This window comes from Homo sapiens, chromosome 16 (assembly GCF_000001405.40).
Source record: "Homo sapiens chromosome 16, GRCh38.p14 Primary Assembly".
Lineage (NCBI taxonomy): Eukaryota > Metazoa > Chordata > Mammalia > Primates > Hominidae > Homo > Homo sapiens.
Genome location: NC_000016.10, coordinates 49,427,104 through 49,446,953, shown reverse-complemented (window position 1 = coordinate 49,446,953; position 19,850 = coordinate 49,427,104). Strand labels below are relative to the sequence as shown.

The 19,850-nt window shown below is 48.9% G+C and overlaps 1 long non-coding RNA gene across 2 annotated transcripts in view, besides 5 other annotated features; it reads left to right on the top strand.

The window, feature by feature from the left end:
- Positions 1-19,850, top strand: part of LOC105371244 (uncharacterized) — an 81,768-nt gene that overhangs the window by 7,138 nt on the left and 54,780 nt on the right. The window contains exon 3 of one of the 2 annotated variants that reach the window (XR_933534.2): positions 2,151-5,540. The exons of the other annotated variant lie outside the window; for it this stretch is intronic. This is a non-coding gene — a long non-coding RNA (uncharacterized LOC105371244). Of the gene's footprint in view, positions 1-2,150; positions 5,541-19,850 lie in introns of those variants that run through there. 2 annotated transcript variants of the gene reach the window in all.
- Positions 3,175-3,676: an enhancer, noted in NCBI's record as "H3K4me1 hESC enhancer chr16:49477189-49477690 (GRCh37/hg19 assembly coordinates)". NCBI's record gives its function as "activates a minimal SCP1, AML or CMV promoter by ChIP-STARR-seq in naive H9 embryonic stem cells {active_cell/tissue: H9 hESC(naive)}" and the evidence as "EXISTENCE:reporter gene assay evidence [ECO:0000049][PMID:30033119]".
- Positions 4,733-5,680: an enhancer, noted in NCBI's record as "H3K4me1 hESC enhancer chr16:49475185-49476132 (GRCh37/hg19 assembly coordinates)". NCBI's record gives its function as "activates a minimal SCP1, AML or CMV promoter by ChIP-STARR-seq in primed H9 embryonic stem cells {active_cell/tissue: H9 hESC(primed)}" and the evidence as "EXISTENCE:reporter gene assay evidence [ECO:0000049][PMID:30033119]".
- Positions 5,198-5,477: an enhancer, noted in NCBI's record as "active region_10803". NCBI's record gives its function as "activates an Ori minimal core promoter by ATAC-STARR-seq in GM12878 lymphoblastoid cells {active_cell/tissue: GM12878}" and the evidence as "EXISTENCE:reporter gene assay evidence [ECO:0000049][PMID:35858748]".
- Positions 15,212-15,712: an enhancer, noted in NCBI's record as "H3K4me1 hESC enhancer chr16:49465153-49465653 (GRCh37/hg19 assembly coordinates)". NCBI's record gives its function as "activates a minimal SCP1, AML or CMV promoter by ChIP-STARR-seq in primed H9 embryonic stem cells {active_cell/tissue: H9 hESC(primed)}" and the evidence as "EXISTENCE:reporter gene assay evidence [ECO:0000049][PMID:30033119]".
- Positions 15,713-16,213: an enhancer, noted in NCBI's record as "H3K4me1 hESC enhancer chr16:49464652-49465152 (GRCh37/hg19 assembly coordinates)". NCBI's record gives its function as "activates a minimal SCP1, AML or CMV promoter by ChIP-STARR-seq in primed H9 embryonic stem cells {active_cell/tissue: H9 hESC(primed)}" and the evidence as "EXISTENCE:reporter gene assay evidence [ECO:0000049][PMID:30033119]".

Sequence of the window (19,850 nt, the reverse complement as noted above, 5' to 3'; positions counted from 1 at the left end):
AAAATAAGTCAACTCTGATTTATACCTTACACATACAGACTTTGACACAAAATGTATCATAAGCCTAAATGTAAAATATAAAGCCATACAAATTCTTTAAGAAAACAGGAGGAAGCTTTTGTGACTTTGGATTGGGCAAAAGTTTCTTAGAGAGAACACAAAAATCATGACTCCTAAAAGAAAAAAAAAAGATACGTTAGACTTTAAAATTTACATTTTAAAGATACATTTACATTAAAATGAAAAACTGATGCTCTTTAGAAGCTGCCACTAGAAGAATGAAAGGACAAACCACAGAATTTGATAAAATATTCTCAACCATATATTTGGTAACAGGTTTGTTTCTAGAATATATAAAGACCTTTCAAAATTCAATAATAAGAACACAAAACAATGGAAAATGGCAAATGATTTGAACAGAGACTTCACCAAAGAAGATACATGGATGGCAATAAACACATGAAAAGCTGCTCAACATCTTTAGCCATTAGAGAAATGCAAATTCATATCACTAGGAGCTAGCTACCACGGATCATCTATTAGACTGGTTAAGATTAACGAGACAGACCAATTGTTGGTCATGGTGTGGAAAAACTAGAACTCTTTTATTCTGCTGATTTGAAAACAGTTTGGTGGTTTCTTTGAAATTTGAACATACACCTGTCGTACAATCCAACCATGCCACTCCTAGGGTATTTATTAAGTTGAATTAAAGCAGGTGTACATCCAAAAACTTGTACATGAGTATTCATAGCAGCTTTATTTTTAATGGCTACAAACTGTCAACAACCTACATATTCATGGATAAGCAAATTGCATGGCATTCATACAATGGAATATCACTTAGCAAAAGAAAGGCATGAGCTACTGATACACACAAGAATGTGGATGGATCTCAAAATAAATGCTTAGTGAAAGAAGCATTTCAGGGATAAAAAGAGTGCATAGCATATGGTTCAATATACATAAAACGCTAGAAACTGCAAATTAATCTGCATAGAAAGCCCATCAGTGGTTGCTTAGCTATGGGGACAAGAGGTGAGTGGGAGGGATTACCGAGCCAGGAGGAAACTTTGGTGGTGATGGACAGGTTTCCCACCTTGATTTTGGTGATGGTTTCATGGGTGTATACATATGTCAAAACTTGTCACATTGAACATTTTAAAAGTGTGCAATTTATTGTGTGTAAATAGAGTCTCACTAGAGCTGTTAACAAAAGTAGAAAGCAGAGAGGGAGAGAGGAGTGGAGGTGCTCCAGGCAGAGGTCACAGCTTCTGCAAAGGCCTAGACGTGAGAAGGAACAGGGCGTCTTGGCTTGGCTGGGGAATAGGGCATGAAATGGGGAGGTGGGAGACAGGAAGGAAGCTGATTATCCTACCCTGTGTTCTATGCCTCATTCAGAAGTCTCCAGGGAGCTTCAGACAGTGTCCAGGCCTGGCCCAATTCTATCTTGTTTTTCTGCCTCTTGTAGGTGCCTGTAACACTCAGCCCCTCCTTGCAGTTGTTCAAATGAGCCAGATCCTGTATGTCAGGGCTCAGGGACTGCAGAAAGGAGGCTGTCAGCTGGAAGAAGGAGAAGGTGTCAGGATCCCAGGTCCACAAGGCCAGATGCTGGAGGTGGAGGCCTTAGGGGCCAGGGAGATGGGCCCCCGAGCCTCCCTCAGAGAGGGAAAAAAGAGGGAGAGAGGGACAGAGAGAGAGAGAGAGAGAGAGAGAGAAAGAGAAATAAAGGACCATGCAGGTTTTTCCATGAGGATGAGAAGACAGAAGAGTCAACACTCCAACCCAGGAGGGGAACTAGGTCAATTCACGAAGCCAATGTGCAGAAAACTTGTTGAGCAGAGTCCCCTTTGCTGAGTGAACTATCAGACACACATCTTAGCCTCCATCCAGCAGAGTCCTCTGGAGCCACTGTAAGTCCAAAAGCCAGGTGCAGAGGCAGAGTTTTGGGACAACTTGTGTATTTGCATGAGAACGGCAGAGGTAGGGGCAGAGACTGGGGTGAGAGAACAAAAACTTTCCAAAATACCCCACAGTAGCCTGGTCAGCCAGTCATTTGGTGAACTGAATTTCTAGATTGGCTTTTGGCAAAGGGATTTCTGCAAAGCAGTTTTCCACTTCTCTTCCTGTCTCCCACCTCCCCATTTCAGGCCCTGTTCTCTAGCCACTTGGGAGGACAAGTGTCATCGCAATCCCTAAGGGAGGACAGAAGTCATTCACGGCACTCTACAGAAGCCAGAAGATGTGCTTATAGGCGGTGTTGGGTGTTGTCTTGAGCCCACAGTGGGCCTAAGCTGTACTGGGGATGTTCGATGAAAGCAGAGAGAGAAATAAAAGATCATGCAGGAACTTCCATGAGGATAGGAAGACAAGAAAGGTCAACACACAGCACGGCCAACAAGCAAGACAGTCTAAGAATGAACATGGTGACTTAAAAGATGACATGGGGGCTGCAGGGAGGGAGAAACAAACGGGGAGGGAAGCACAAGTCTTGTGAGTGTCTTTTTGGAGAGACAGGACTGAGATGGGTCTCCAAGATAAATTTAGTTTTGGATCAGGACAGGAAAAGAGAGAAAGGCCCTGATCTGAGGGTAAGGACGAGATGCACAAAGAGCAGCACATTCTGTAACATGTCAGTAGTGAGTAGAGCTTGCTCTGAAATGATCCTGCATAATATTAAAATCACCCTTGATAAAAGATGTGCAGCCAGTCTGGAAACGCCAACAGTGATTGAGCATATAGGTGATGGGGTTTGCATGTTTGTTAATTTATCTGTTGTTTTTCTTTTTTATCTTTCCACTATGAATATGTAGTACTTGTGCATTTAAAAAATGTTATAAATCTGCAAGTTAACAAATCTAATGCATTTCCCTTCAATCTCATCATCCCAAGACTAGACCTTTTTCGGACAGTGGCTTGAAGACAGACAGGCTCTCCTAAGAGATGGAAGCCCAGGGTGTTCAGCCCCCACTGTCTAAGGCCCCCCAACTCCAGGAGCCCCATATGTTCCTACCAGACCATAGGCTTAACTGGATGTAGGCCAGGGGTGGGGGAATGTGCTCTGCTTGGCATTGTAAGGTGCCAGGCGCACCTGAGCAGCTGGACAGGTGTGACAGATGCCCTGGATTGCATGGAGCTGGCTGTGCCTGTGCACACACACCCGTCTGCACCCCGTCCTCCCCTCCCTACACCTCCCTGTCTTCCCGGCTAGCTCAGGTGTGGTGCATCTGTGGCCCATTGGCAGCTCTCTTGCCCGCAGTGCACAGGGAGCTGTCAGGTTAAAAGCTGGCTTGCTCGATTTGATCCCACATGCGAGCTGTTTTATTTCCCTCTCTCTCCCTTACACGGCTTCGGTGTGCTTTTATAAATATTTCACTAGCCTTGCTAAAGTCTATTTCATCTCTCTCTTAAATTTATTAAATATAAATGCAGCAACAACTCTACCATAAGTCTCTCTTTGCTGTCAAAATCTCAGGCTCCCATGGAAGTAAATATAATTTGCTTTGTTTACCGTAGGTAACTTGGAGCCCTATCTGCTATCTCAACACCCCCTAAGCACCCCCAAATCTCCCTGTTTTTGTTAGCAGGGGTCTGTCTCATCCCAATGTAGTGCACGGGGACACGGGTCACGCTTTGAAGAGGGCGTGACAAAGGGGCTGTTCTCCGACACTCGCATGGCAGGGAATTTCTTGGTCCGCTGGTCCCTCAATGACACAATCAATGAGTAAAGGGGGATACCTTTACTCATCACCTCAGACCTGAGCACGCCCTGGGCCCCATTTGGGCAGAGCTTTGCTCTTTGCTTTTCTTTTAAAGTAAAGGGCCCATCTGCTGCAGCTAGTGACCTGGCCAAAAAAGACACAGACTGCTGTGAAATGATTGAGGGCAGTGACTCCCCTCCCACCCCAGGAGCCAGAGCCGACAGAGCCAAGAGCAAGGCAGGAATTCAGGTCCCCAAAAGCAAGCCAGAAGCACCACCTCCAAGCGCCCTGCCACTTCCTTTGTTCTTTGTTAATTGCAAAATAAACACAACCCTGCCCACCGACTGTGGAGAAAGATTTCTGCCAACTGGGGGACCCGGCAGGTAGTGGGCAGGCATTTGCCCTCCATCAACCACATGTGATTTCCTGGAGGAGAAGGGGCAGTAGAGAAGGGGCAGAGTGGCAGGGCTGGGATGGACCTAGCTTAGGGCTTGTAGGTCAGGGAAGTGAGGGAAGTGGATGTCAAGATGGAAGACACAGGCACGCTTTGTTTGCATCTGAAATCAGTGAGAATAGCTTTCTCTTCCACAAAGAACTGGATCTCTTTCACCCAGGTGAAAGGTGCTATTTCTAGCTCTTATTTCTTAATGAAAATGGCCCTCTCAGTCTGTCCTGTTTTTCTCTACTTTTGGTGGTGACATTGGAGCAGAACGATGGCATTTCCGCTTTCTATAAGAAAGAGGGCCAGGCTTGTCTAAGAACCCCCACCCCTAACTCCTAGCCTGGCATCTTCCATTAAACTTGCAGAGATGAAACAGGTGACTGACATCTTGGGCTGGGGGGACAGACGTTTAGAATTAGCTCCTGGATGCATCCAGGAATTCAGATCTGTGCTAAAACTCTCTATAGCTCCAGAAGACTGGCTTTTACAGTGGCTGTGCCCTGGAGTCTCAGAGACTGTCCTGCAGATTCAGGAAGAGAGGTGTTGTACGGACTTGCAGATTTTCTGTCTCACCGTCCCATTTAGACACAGGAAGACAAGAGAAAGTTACCTCTAGGAGGTGAAAGGAGTAAGTTTTTTGGGGGGGTCAACTGAAGATCTGTGTGAGAACCTTTTCCACACTACAACAATAGACTAAAAAAAATTGACTCAGCTTACATAGAATGCAATTGTTTTGTACAATTATTTTGCTTAAAAAGTGAAAAGGGTTTTAGAATTGTGGTTTTGAACTTGTTAGTAATTTTGATTTTTCAGTTTTATTCTTGTATTTTACAGTCACAATTATTATTATTTTTTTCTTTTTAGATCTCAAGCATGTTTAATGGCCCCCGAAAAGAATCTATAGACCCCACACTGTTTATGGGGTAAATCAAGCCTCTGGGTCTGGGATGGAAGAACCAGAGTGTGGGGTTTCAGAGAAGGGTAGTGGGGAAGAAGCCACTTGCTCTGGAGCAAGTGATCATTGGGCCTTCCCTGGGATGGCCCCAGGGAGCACGCCTCTGGCCGACCTCCACCGGCCTGCCAACCCAGGCTGCGGGGGCGGCTGCGAGTCCCCCGAAGGTAAATGACGCGGCATCAGCGGGGTCCCTGTGTCAACTGCATGATGGCTTTCAGGCCTGGGGCTGGTGGCTTCCTGTCTCACCGCTGAGAGCGAGGCTATTTCAGGATCTCGCTGCTTCCGTCTGTTCCGGGGAGGGCAGGATGGAGGGCGGGCAGTGGAGAGGAGGCGGAGGCCCGGGTCTACATCTACCAGGTGTTTCAGAGGCAAACTTTCTTTTTCCTCCTGTTTCTGCTGCCCACTGCTGGTGGAATGGGTTTGTCAAGTTGGCATTACTTTCTTTGAAATGCTTTTTATTCACTGCTTTTGGAGTAAAAAACAAAACTCAGTCATATCCCTACTCAAGGCTTGGATAATTGCCCAATACAGCAACATCTTCTGTAGTAAAATTTACCTTCAAAAATCCTGTGAATCATTAGGACCTGATGGGTTCTGAGAATTTCACTTATTTTGTTTGTTTGTTTGTCTCTTGGGCATTTTAGCTGTGCCTTCCCTGTCCCTGGGGCGATGGGGATGAGGGAACAGTGACAGGGTCAATAAATGCGCCTCTGCCTGCCTATTTCTCTCTCCTTCTCTTTGTCTGCACTCACTTAGCTGAATTTGGGTAAGATGGTTGTTTGTGGGAGCCAACCCCATTGTACTTCTGCACAGTACGTTTACTGCTGTCAGAACACTCTCACACGCACACGCACCAAGCCATTGTTTGGGGAAACTTCCCTGGCAGGTCGAAGGAATGGAATTGCTGTCTCCATTTCCCATCTCAGGACGCTGAGGCTGGGAGAAGGGGACCGGCCTGTGCGGGTTGCAGGATGCGTGGCTGGGGTTTGAAGCAGCGTCCCCACCCCCGTGCGTGGGCTGTTGCCATTGCCCCACGTTTCTCACGTTTCCCCTTGGCCTTACTTGAGATTCCCTGTTCCCTGTGGAGGGGCCTAGGAAGGGCCCCTGATTGACTTTTGGCCCCAAACCGTGACTCTCTCTCAGAGGTGGCTCAGGGAACTTTAATGATTTAGGGCAGCGCTGCTTAGCCAGGGGCAATTTTGTTTCTCAGGGGACATTTGGCAGTGTCTAGAAACATTTTTGGTTTTCACAATTGGGGGTTGCTACTGGCATCTAGTGGGTAGAGGCTGTTAAACACCCTGTAGCCCAGAGGACAGGCCCCTCCTGCCCTGCAACAAACAATTATCCGGCCCAGAATGTCAACAGTGCCAAGGGTGAGAAGCTCTGGTTTAGGGGAGTGAACTCCAGGTGGTTAGGAACTATCGCCACATATTTCTTGCCTTCTTCTAAGCTCTCGGTCCATGATGTTCAGCAAGGAGTCACTGAGCACCTCCCACACGCATGGCACACTCCCATCTAGGCTGCCTGCCTGTGCCATCTCCTTACACTCTCAAAGGCATGGTAAAGTGGGTGAATCTCTCCATAGGACTCATGAGAACATGAGGGTTTAGAGGGTGTCACCGTTGGGTGTCCTGGGAGGTAGGCTCTGGGGTGGATATTTGTATGCAGAACCAGCCTCTGTAGGGAGAGAGGGACTCAGGATGGGGCAGAGAAGGAGATGGGCGGTGATGCAGTCATAGCAAAGGCCTCTGTTGATCCCCTGGGAGCCCTGGCACTGCTGTGATCATTCAGAGATGTTCCAAATTGGGGTGAAGAATCCAGGCTTTTCTACCGGCCCCCAACATTGACCATTAGATGTGGCCACCCCAGGGTGGGGGGTGTCAGTGTGTGAAGTGTCTCTTGGCTGAGGGTAAGGCTCTGAGATGGGCTCAGCCAGGAGCAGAGCCACCAGCATGCCTAAGCAGCTGTTCCCAGGAGGCTTTTGGGGATTTGGGCAGAGCTCGGTGTCCACTCTAAGGAGCTCGAGTGCTTGCCCAGGTTTGCTCCCTAGCTGGGCCGCCCCCCTCCCTCATGGTGGCATTGGAAGTCTGTGGAAACTGAGGCCTCCTAACCCAGGGCTGTAATCTCTGACAGAGTACCATCAGCATTTCTTAACCCCATAAGCCACAAACTGGCAGCACCGATTCATGTTTTGTGTACCACTATTTTTAGTGAGTTACCACTGTTCTAAAATAAGGAGATTTTTACATAAAGTTCTGAATTCCTAGGTTTCATGGAAATATTGGGAGACCTGACTGTGCTGGCACACTTTCTAGCTGTGCAGGAGCGATCCCTTTTGCAAAGTAGGTGTGTGTGTTGAGGGGGGTGTCTCACCACTCCATTGTATGCCTAACCCACCACCCTCATTTACTCATCCATGTCATGACTCTTACTCTCTGCATGGGCTACTGTTGGAGCCTAGTTCTTCTGTGCTAAGCATTGGTGTTTCTCTCTTCAACCAACAGGGTTTTGCCTGTTCTTCGACCTTAGGGCATTTCCCTTGACCCCATTTCCCACTGTGGCCTTTAAAGAGAATCTCAAGAATCACAGAGAAAGCTTCTCAATGAAAACCAATGGGAACAAATCCGGCCTTTGTTCCAGGACATCCTGCCCTTCTGGCTGGCTCTGAGGCTGCAGGTACCAAAGCTGTCCCTGCTCAATCCTCCCTCTCGGAGTGGGCTTTGGTTTTTGTGGGCGACTCCATTGTTAAAAGCCAGCCCTACAATGGGACGAGGACAGTTGACAGGTTTCTGTGCAAGCGCGTTTCCGATCGCGCAAGGTAACAGCTTCATTACTCAGTGATGAGTGACCCATATTTCCTAACATGATTTCCCTGCTGTAACTCAAATTGAGTTCATGTTATTCTAATGATATCAGTTGACCTTGAGAATTAGACCAAGAAGCCTGGGGTTATTCTTCCAACTTCCACTGCAGATTCTTCTGATGTGTTTGGAAACACAATCTACTCCTCATCGCCCTGAAGTGGGCAGGGGGAAAAGAGAAAACAAAGATCCCGACCTGCTCTGATTTTTAGAAAATACATCTGGGCAATTTCAGGCGACGGGAGGCTCTTTCCCTCTCAGTTCTGCTCCCCCACCACTGCCTCTCCCCCAAGATCCTGGATCTTTCCTGCCAGGAAGAGTCCTCCTCTAGGTCCTACGGGATCTCCTTGCTGCAGCCTCTCCTTGCCCCACCACCCTGCTGGGTCAAGCTCCCAAAACCAGAGCAGACGGCGCTTCTCTAGTTCCCTCACTGGCTCCTCATTGCCTGCTGGTAAACCCCAGACTCCTAAGCCTGGCATTCAAGGCCCACAATTCAAGCTCATCTGCATCCTCAAATACAGGATCGGAGCTGATGGATCTTTCCTGCCAACACAACCCCTGAAAGTGTGTGGCACAGACGGACTGCACGCCTTGGTACATATGACATTTTTTTGTTTGTTTTTGAGACAGAGTCTCTCTCTGTCACCCAGGCTGGAGTGCAGTGGTGCGATCTCGGCTCATTGCAACCTCCCCTCCTGGACTCAAGTGATTCTCCTGCCTCAGCCCCCCAGTAGCTGGGGTTAAAGGCAACTGTCACCACACCTGGCTAATTTTTGTATTTTTAGTAGAGACGGGGTTTCACCATGTGGGCCAGGCTGGTTTCAAACTCCTGACCTGAAGTGATCCACCAGCCTCGGCCTCCCAGAGTGCTGGGATTATAGGTGTGAGCCACTGTGCCTGTCCCACATCATGTTTTTGTACCTCTATGCCTCTGCTCACCATCCTTTCCTCCTGAAACATCCCTGGCCACCTCACTCCTCTGAGCTGTGCCAGCTCCATTTACTTGCATTTACTAGTTTACTAGACCTTTCTGCAGCTTGGATTCTGTTCTGTTGTGGTTATTGCTAGGAACAAGACAGATCCGGTCTCTATCCATAGTGAGCTTCCATTCCAGGAAAGGAAAAAGACAGTAACCAAGAAAACAGATAAAAACTAGCGGGGACATCCCAAGGTGATAAACTTTGAAGGAAATAAGTAGTGTGATGTCTTGGGGAACTTGGGGTAGGGGCTCTTTTCCTGGGGGGGTCTCAGGGAGGGTCCCTGAGCATGATATTTGGGCTGAGACCTGAAGGATGAGAGGCAACAAGACCTGCAGAAAAGTGGGGGGAAGGAAGCTCAGCCCCAAAGCTCTGGGGAGGGAAGGGCTTTGTTGTTCTAGGAACCAAGGTGAGGAGGGCACTGTGCTCACCAGAAGGACTGCATTGCAGGCCACGGGAAGGCAGCAGAGGGCGGCACTTCCGAGCCGGAGCCCCAGGGTGGATGGCTGGGCTCAAATACACTGTGCGGCTGTGTGACCTTGGCAAGTTTTCTAACTTCTCTGTGCCTCAATTTCCTCATCTGAAAAATGGGGATACATTATAAAGAGTACATGAGTTCATATTGCACATTGTTTAGAATTATGTGTGTGTATTCATTCACTAAATTGTCCAGGAACTTGTACACATTTTATTTAGGTCTTCATTTTTACAAGTTGTAACCAGTGATCACTGGTTACAATTGGAAGCCAGCAAGCACTTGTTCTTGGGATGGAATAGAACAAAATAAAGAGCCTAGATGTGAACCTCGGGAAATCCGAGCCAGCTGAACCTTGCCCGAGTCCCAGGCCCACTCTCTGGAGAGTGGCAGAGGATCCTGCCTGGAATTTCTGGGGACCAAAACCATTGAAAAGAGCCCTGCAATGTACCCCCTTCTCAGGAGGAACAGCCAGGCACCCGTTTGGGGAGGAGAAGAGGGTGATTTCACCAGGGCTGGTGGGGAATGTGTGATAAGCCAGGATACAATGTGGCTTGAATCTTTGCCCTTGTTGGACGGGAATATGAAATTAAGCATTCAGACCTGGAAATCCTGTTTCTCCCAGGATTCTGCTCCTTTGGAAGACAGCACCTCTCCTAGCACAAAGGGAGAGGAAGCAGCTGATGGAGCTGAAAGAAAAGGAGTTCCTGGGATGAAGGAAGATATAAGATTGTTAGGGGGAGAGATGAGAGGAGACACGTGGAGGGAGAGAGAGACCGAGAAACGGAGGAATGGAATCCCAAAGGAGTGTGTGTGTGGAGAGAGAGAAAGAAACAGGAGGCAGGGACACACACAGATGGACAGACAGTGAGAAGCAGAGACAGAGAAAGATGGAGACATTGAGACAGGCAGAGACAAGCAGAAAGAAACTGAGAATAAAAGACCTTGGGGCACAGAAAGAGAGACAGGAGCGAAGAAAACTAGACACAGAGACAGAGCAAGGGAGAAGGCCAAGGGTGAAAAGTCTCAACTGGACCCCTTTGACTACAGCCATTTGCCTGAAATAAAGCTCGCACTGTCTTCCAAGGTTGTGTTGGGAAAAAGTTATTTCTTTTGCAGCCACTTCCAGCACACACTCTCCAGCAACCCCTCCTTCCCCCGGGCATGCACGGGTACCTACGTGTGCACGAACAGGTGCACACACTCACCATGTCCCAAGGCACATGTCTGCTCCCCCAAAACCCAGGATCATTGATTCCCCTGGGTTTCATGCTCTTTTCTGTCCCATCTGTATTTGAAACTCTTTTGCTCGAGTCTAGAGAGTGTGTGCCCTCACCTTAACAAGGCTTGGAATGTTATCTTTGATTTTAACAAACAATAAGCACGTGGGTCCTGGATTCTTTCCATTTGCTTTGGGACCCCTTTCAGTCCGGTTTTGTACCTAGTGGCTGGGACTGTCCTCTTCAGTAGGTGTCCCCTGTTGCTGGTGGGCTCACCTGCCACCACCAACACTTCTCTGTTTCTGGCTTCTGGAATTTTTGCAGTAGATTTAGCCTGAGGCTGGTTCCATGGGAAGCCCAGAACCTGGGGTACCAGAGTAAGGCTAGGCCAGATGGGGAGCAGGCCAGGTTCTCTAGAAGCTGAAAACTTGAAATCATCCCCTTTCTTCAGCTTTCTTGAAATACGGTTTCCCAGGCACCCCTCTGACCCTCGCCCACCTCTGTCCTGACTCCTGATGTTGACTGTGACACTGAGGGGCAGGGGACAAGGAGCACTGTGGTAGTTCTGGACTGATGGCTCTGCCAGCTTTAGAAATGTCAGATCTGGGGGAACCTGGATCATAATACCAATTGCCGGTATCAATGAGGCCTTAGTGTCCTAGATACATCACATGCACCCTTTTATGTAATCTTCACCAAAGCTCCATGAAGTGGGCACTCTTACCATCTCCACTTTATAGTTGCAGAAATGGAGTTTCAGAAGGGTAGAGGCGCTGGCCCAGTGTTACCTTGCTCTGATTCTAAGGCCCATGCTCCTAAGCAGTCGATATTATAGTGACTTTTGATTCCCTTGAGGATTTCTTTCCTCAGTGGATATTTGCAGGAAGATTTGGGAGCCCCAGTCACTGAAGGACTGTGCCTTCCTCATTCCAGCTGCCGGGCTGTTTTTCAAAAAGGTGCATTTGTAAAGTGTGTTCATGACTATTATCTTATCTGGCCCCCAGGAAATACCTGTGGAGTAGGTCAGGCTGCCTTGTCCATTTGAGGGATGGGGAAATCAAAGCCCAGAAAGGGCTGCCCTCTGAGTGGAAGGAAAAGCTTGAGCTTGATAAAGAATTTCTGTGTCTAAACCTCTAGGAAGACCCTGGGCTCAGGTGGTGGTCGCCCCACTGTGCTGTGGGCATCTAACTGCTCTGCCCAAAGCCTTTTTAATTTTTTTTAAAAGAACATGCTTCTAAGAGTCTTGACGGGATTGTACTGAGGCTGGGCCTTGATATCCAGGCCAACTGTGGGCCTCCGTGCCGGTGGTGGGAGCTGGAATCTGCCTTTGGGCTGGACTTGAACTCATTTCCTCTTCTCGGTAGGCTGTCGGCTCCAGGAGGGCAGGGGATATGTCTGTCTTGTTCACCAAATGATCTCCTCAGGGCTTTGCACATGCTGTTCTCTTCTGGTACTTGTCCCCGCCCTGCTCTGGCCTCACCTTGTTCATTCCCACTGGGCTTTGACATCTCAGATGAAAAACTTCCTCCCCTAAGCCCTAGTCTACACTAGCCCTCTATAATAAAGTGCCCCTAACACCTTCATCTTCTTCTTCACACTCTTCTGGGTTGAAATGATGCATATGTGGAGCATTTGCTTAGTATCTGGCTCTCCTGTCAAAGTATAGCCTCATGAGGTCAGAGGCCATGGCCATGACCTCAGCATGATGGGGCTTGGTTATCATAGGTCCCATGGAAGCCCTTCAGTAAGGACTTGTTGGCAGAATGAACTACAGTCCCTCCAGCCACTGATGAGTGGAGGTGGGTGGCATGAAGGTGGGGGGTGGGGCGGGGTCAGCATCCCATGGGAGGTCACTGAGTTTGGGGCATCTATAGCTTGGAAAGCCAGTGCCCCACATTTCTAGCTGTCAGGCCATTAAAAAAAAGTGCATCATTATTATTTTGTTGGAGATGGGGTCTCACTCTGTGATCCAGGCTGGAGTGCAGGGTGGCACAATCATAGCTCACTGCAACCTGAAACTCCTGGTCTCAAGCAATCCTCCCATCTCAGCCTCCCGAGTAGCTGGGACAACAAGCACATACTACTATGCTCAGCTAATTCTTGTATTTTTTTGTAGAGATAGGGTCTTGCTATGTGGCCCAGGCTGGTTCCGAACTCCTGGGCTCACTCAATCCTCCTACCTTGGCCTCCCAAGTAACTAGGACTACAGGCATGAGCCACTGTGCCTGGTTATGGTGCTATTTTAAAGGGAGAAAATGAAGATATTTGGTGAACTATGTGTAGCCATTCAATCTGCCTTCCACTTTCATCGTCTCTAGATCTTATCCTGGGGCTGCACCCAAGCCTGGCCCAGCTCTAGGATGTTCTGCTCTGTGAAGCCCCTGGTGAACAACACCTTCCAGTCCTGTTCTATGTCTCCTAGAATAAATCCCAGCTCCCCAGCATGCCTGTAGGGTCCTTACCCCTACTGACCTCATCTTATGCTCCCCACCCCACTTTACTCTAGAAAGGAGCCTACTTTCTGCTCCTCAAAGATGCAGAACTTTTTCCTGCCCCAGGGCCTTTGTGCTTACTGCAGCCTCTGCCCCTGTCTTTGCTTGGCAGGACTGATCTCTTATTCTGTAAGAGATCACGTTTTACTTCCTAAGAAGGGCCTTCTCTGACCACTCAATGTAGAGCAGCCTCCCTCTCCCCACCATATGCCACTCTATCCTGTCTCTCCATTTATTGCCTATGCTACCCTCTGGAGCTCAGCTTGCTTATCCATTCACTTGTTTGTACTCCCATGAGAATATGAGCACCATGAAGGCAGGGCCTCTATCTGTGCTGTCTGCTGCTGCATCCCCAGAGACTAGAAAAAGACCCAGAATATAGTAGGTGTTCCAAGAACACTTGTAGGATGCAGATAAATGAATGAACAGGATCTGATTCTAAAGGGACAGTGTAAGACCTTGAGTTTTACACCTGCTGGAGGCTCCCACAGGTTAAATTCACCACCCCTCCCTTCTCTTCCTCTTGGTGTTCCTCTTTGAGCTTCCCTTGTCTGTATCACCCATGAGAAATGAGTTCCTCCAGAGAAGGTGGTGGGGCCACCAATCATTTAGCTCACCCTCCCGCAGTGGGTCAGGCATAGAGGATATGTCTGAGCTGTGGATCTGATAGTCTGGTTGGTGAGATTTCCTTGAGAGGAGCCCTTTTTAGGGGAACCAGAGCTCAGCAGCCTGCTGGTAGGCCCCTCACTGGGTAGCCAGTGCCCTATGCCCAGAAGCAGCTCCTTCTCAAGGGCCCTGAAGACTTGAGTGGCAGCGGGCCTGGGCATGAGAAGTCCTCAGCCTTGTGAGCTCTTGTCATTGAAAATAGCCACCCAACAAGGCTGTGAGCTTGCACTGGAAGTGAGGTCCTTCGGGGGTGCAGAGATCGGGAGAGCATAATTCCTGCATTCAAGAAGCAGTTACAAAACAACACAACACCAGTGAAATATCCAGACAAGCAAATGTATTCACAGAACAAAGGACTGGAAGATCAGACATCAAATTGTTCATAGTAACAGGTGACTTTTTTGTTGTTGTTGCTTACCTACATGTAATAAAATGAAGACACATGATCTGGGCTACCTGAAACAGGCTTTGTTTGTGTGTTTGTTTGCACATAGCATAGTTTGTGATACGGGGCAGCATAGTTCCCTTCTAAGAGACTGGGCAAACCAAGCAAGCAGTAAGCCAAACATTCAGAGGAGGGGGACTTATGGGTGTGACAGAGTCCTTGGCGGGCTCCTAGGGCAGGCGGGCTTGGAAGGAGGAGGGGGCTTTGGGTAGAGTGGGGAGGAAGCATCAGGAAGGAGAGAAGCAGAGCCATGAGGATTGTGTCCTTGGTGGGGCACAGTGTGCATGCCATGCTGGTCAGAACCATGCTGCCACCGGGCGAGATGGGGCTGCATCTTTTCTGTTGTGGTGCGTGCATCGGTTGCATTTTTATTTGCTTGACTTCTCTCTGAATGATGAACTTCTTGGGGAAAGAGCCCGGTTTTTTTGGCTAGTGAATCCTTAGTGCAAGGCACAGAGTAGGGCTGATCAAATATCTTGCATGAATGGATTCAGAAAACACACAAAAATAGCTGATTCCAGTTGAACAGCTGGTTAGCACCTGGTTACCGACTCAGCTCCACCGGTTCTTCCACACCGTGACCCATTTGTGAGGGAAAGCATCCTTGGAGCGCTGGTGGCTGGCTCCCGGCAGCCTGACACCTGGTCTGACGGAACTGATGAGATACTCTGGCATCCAGTCCAGGTTGCCCCTATGATGCCGAAACAATCAATCACTTCAGCCGAGAAAGACACTGAAATGGCCAAGTCCATTTGCAGTGCTGGGTAGATGGAACAACTGGTGCTTTCCTGTTGCCATTTGGCTGGTTGTGTTTTGTTGTCCCCTAGACAGCCCAAGTGTGGCCAGGGCACTGTGTCCCTGGCTTTTCTCCAGTGGAAATGAATAGTGGAGGTTCCCCCAGAAGAACTCTGGGTGGGCAATGGGGTGCCCCTGCTACCTCTGGGAATTCTTGCTCCAGCATCTGCAATACCACCCGTCTTGCAGAAGGGGAGCCGAGGGTCAGAGGGGTTAGTCACATGGACAGTGTAGTTGAGCTGAGACTTGCAGCCAGTTCCTTTCATTGCAACCCGTGTCTCAGGTGCTGAATTTTCAGAAAAATAATATGGTCAGATATTAGACCAAAATGATGGGGCAAGTTAAATCTGAATAACAATCAGTCCATCCCGGACTCAAGCTCTTAGATGTTTCATGCTCGGTGGGACATGGTTCAGAGCAAGCCCTGGAGGCCGACCACACCTACCTGGGTCAGAACCCAGTTCAACCCTTTAGAAGCTGTGTGCCCTGGGGAAACTTACTCACCTACCTGTGCTTCAGTTTCCTAACTGTGAAAGGGATCTGTTCCAGCTGACCTGATGGATTGCTTCTGGATTAATGAGATAAGCACACAGCACTGGCACAGCAGATCTCATACATGTGGTTCTGAATCAGAGCTGGGCAGCAGGCATGCACCCAGCATGCAACCCCGTGGGTGGGAGAACTCACACGTGGGGGCCCTTGTGCGGGCAGTCACGGTGCCGCCATGGGAGGGTGCTGGTAAATGTTTTGTTTAGAGTGGTGACATCAGGATTCGGGATGTCGAGGGTAGCACACCACTGTGGGAACACCGACCTGGAGGATGGAAAGGGTGCTGCATGGAGCTGGAACCCGGGATTCATAGACTGGCTGAAAACTGGACATTGTATACAAGGGTTATTACTATTATTATTATTATTATTTTTGAGACAGGGTCTTGTTCTCTCACCCAGACTGGAGTGCAGTGGCATGGTCACAGCTCACTGCGACATCCAGGTGTAATGAAGGGAGCAAAGACCACCTGGCGGCCATCGAGTAGGCCATCCAGACACACACAAGAAACTCCTGTATGAGGGATTTAAAGTAAACGCACGCGGTCTTTGCTTGCCAAGGTGTCCTGCTGCATACTTCTGCATTGTTCTGTTTTTCTAATAAAACTTTTCTTTTTCGGCTGGGCGCAGTGGTTCATGCCTGTAATCCCAGCACTTTGGGAGGCTGAGGCGGGCAGATCACCTGAGGTCGGGAGTTCAAGACCAGCCTGGCCACACAGCAAAACCCCATCTCTACTAAAGATACAAAAATTAGCCGGGTGTGGTGGTGGGTGCCTGTAATCCCAGCTACTTGGGAGGCTGAGGCAGGAGAATCGCTTGAACCTGGGAGGCAAAGGTTGCGGTGAGCCAAGAATGCGCCATTGCACTCCAGCCTGGGCAACAAGAGTAAAACTCCATCTCAAAAAAAAAAGAAAAGAAAAAAAAGTCTTCCTTTTTTCAAACCTGTACTGTTGTTGGTAAATTATTCTTACCAACCTGCAAATCGACTACTTCCTGATGCTGGGGCTCTGACACCTCACCCAGCAACAGGGACTACAGGCACACACCACCACGCCAGGCTAATTTTTGTATTTTGAGCAGAGATGGGGTTTCACCATGTTGCCCTGGCTGGTCTCAAACTCCTGGGCTCAAGTGATCCTCCCGCCTCAGCCTCCCAAAGTGCTAGGATGACAGGCATGAGGCACTGCGCCCGGCCTGAATGGTTACTGTTTTATTTGCCCTCACCCTCACTAAGACAGACATTTGACCAGTTCCACATGTTAGCTGTCACAGGGAAGACATGTTGTAAATGCCAGCATGGTAGGGAAGTGCATCATCAGAGACGAGAGAGGGACATCAAACAGTGAAGTACATTTTAGTGGGATGAACACAGTGCTGGAGATTTGCGTGGTGGGGACAGGCTTGGAGGGTTGGTGCTAATCCACTGTGTGTGTATGTGTTTGTGGTGGTGGTAAAGGACGGTTTCCTGGAAGAGATGACATCTGGGCTTGTGTTAAAGAGTAAGTAGGCCTTATCCAGAGTATGGGGTGGGGATAGTGCATGCTGGCCAGCTAGAGAGGCTAGCATTAGGAAGGCACAATGCGACAAGGATCCTGGCTTGTGCAGATGCGTAGGCTGGGGTGGGTGAGTGAGGTTGGTAGGGATCCCACTGGTGGGGATCTTGTAGGCCTTGGTGAGGAGTTTGGGTTGTGTCTTGGGCGATGGGGAACCTTGGCAGGTGCAAACAGGTCACCCTCGCCAGATGTATATTTTTGATAGTTCTCACACACTGCCAAGATGAGCTATGGTCTGTGCTGGGTGGCAGATGGAGGGAGTGGGAAACAAGGCTTGAGGAAAGAATAAAGGTTATCAGAGGCTGTAGCCATGGTTCAGGAAATAGTGGTTGGTAGCTGGAACTGAGGAAGTGGAGGCAGAATGAATAGGAGGGGAGTTGGGGGATGGATGTAGGATATTGCATTCACTGAGTGTGATGTTCTGTTGCTGAGATGCTACTGAGGAAGAGTGAGCAGTCAAGGACAAGACAATTTGGTGAGCTAATGGACAAGGGGCCAACAATGGAGATCTGGAATGCAGCAGTGGGGCAGGTCTTGGGGTACCCATGAAACATCCAGACGATACACTCAGAAACAACTAAACATATGAGGCAGAAGCTTGAAGGATAGATCTGGGCTGAAGATCTGGACCTGGGAGTCATTGAGAGATAGTGAAACCAGGGAGTAAATGAGTGAGAAATAGCAGGCCAAATACAGAACACAAGCAGCAACATTTGCGGGATGGGCAGAAAGAGAGGAGCAGCAAGAGTGGCAGCCCGGAAACAAAGAAGAGTGGTGCAATGGAAACCATGAGAATACTGTATCAGTCAGGGTCTGCTGTGTTGTGCTGCAGTGACAAACAGCCCCCAAATCTCAGAAACAGAGATGGAGTAACAACCATGTCAAGATAGCTTGTGCCTTTTGCCAGGGTCCAGGCTGATGGTGTAGCTGTAACCCAGGGTCCCTGGGTTTTGTTTTTTTGGGTACACACTGTGAAAAAAAGGCCCACTTGCAACTGTCACACCTTGACTTCTTGCTGTTTCAGAAAAGTTCTAGGAAGAAGCCCAGCCCTGGTAAAACAAAAACTGATTGGATGCAGAAATGCTTGAGTTGGAGGTGATCTTTGACGAATTATCCATATATCCATACTAAAAACCCTGCCCAGAAAGGAACTTACTCACCATTTTCTATACATGTGACTTATGTAGAAGCATGATCTGCAACTGCACCTGTGCTGACTTTATTCCACCTCTGCATACGATGACTCAGCTCTCCAGCCCAACAAGAGCCCTGTTTTTACCTGTGTTCTGGGAGGCACTGCTTTGGGAACTACCCCTTGTGTCCATCTTACTTGTTGTAAGTCATAAAATTCCCTTGTTAAGTTCTCCTTGGTTGTGGTCATTGGACTGTCACCCACTAAGCAAGAAAGCCCAGTCATTGTGTGGGTAACATAGCTTCTCCCTATGATGCTGCTTGTTTCATGGCAGAGGTAAAGGGGCAATCACAACCGTGCACTTCTTCTTGAGACTTTTGCTCCAAAGTGACAGATGTCACTCCTGCTCATATTTTATTGACCAAAGCCAGTCCCAGGCCAAGCCTGGGGTCCACAAGAGAGGGAATTATAATCCTTCCCATAGTGGGGGCACATATGTCCTGCACAGGCATACACTTGAGCACAGGTAAAGAGAATGCTGAAGACAGGGGAGACAAGCAGTGCAAAATGTAGCCAAGACAGAAGGGATGATAAAGATGGAAGAACCTCATCCAGGGTTACAATTGGCAGATCTCCACTGGCTTCTCCAAGAGCAGGCTGGGTGGGGTGGTGTCCCTACTGGATCTCCACTGGACACACCGAGAGCAGGCTGGGTGGGGTGGTGTCCCTAATGGATCTCCACCGGATTCACCAAAAGCAGGCTAGGTGGGGTGGTGTCCCCACAGGATCTCCACCGGACTCCTCGAGAGCAGGCTGGGTGGAGTGGTGTCCCCACTGCAGCAGAGACAGGCAAGTAGCCAGGGCAAAGACTGCAAGAGTCATCTGCTCTTTTGGGAAGTTTGCAAGGTAAAGAAAGATGGGTAAGGAGGGTGGTAGCTGAGAAGAAATGCTGAACAGGAGAGGGATTTGAATGATTCTCCTGCTTCTGTGTTTTCTCTCCAACCAGACACATCTATGTGGCAGAGGGCAAAAGTGGCCCCAGATTCTTCCCCATTCTGTATTTGTGCCCATCCAAAAAGACCTTGGAGCTCCTACTGGGAGGGAGAGTCTTTCTCCACCTCTTCAACCAGCTGGCCCTTTGACTTGCTTTCACCAGTGGGCCTGGGTGAACCTGACCCAAGAACTTGAAAAGGGCTTGTGCTTGGGGCTTGCCCGCTCCTTGCTATTGGAACCCCGAGACAGCCTGTGGTCAAGCCTGGGCTAGTTTGCTGGGTGATGGCAGACCTGTGTGCCAGGGACCCCTTTCCAGCCCTACCTTGCCCCAGTTGATAGCCAGCCGACTCTACAAGTGGAGCCGCCCTACCAACCTGTGGCCTGTAGCTGACCACAGAGGCAGCCCAGCCAAGCCCAAAAGACCTGCCTTGTTGAGTCCAGCCCAGCGAGCCAACCTCTGGAATCAGGAGCTAAATAAATACTTGTTTCAGGCCATTGCATTTTGGGGTACTTCATTTTGCAGAAAAAGCTAAGTGATATAGCCTGTGTAATCCAGGTGTTTCATGATGAACAGATTATCTGTGGATTTTTACTG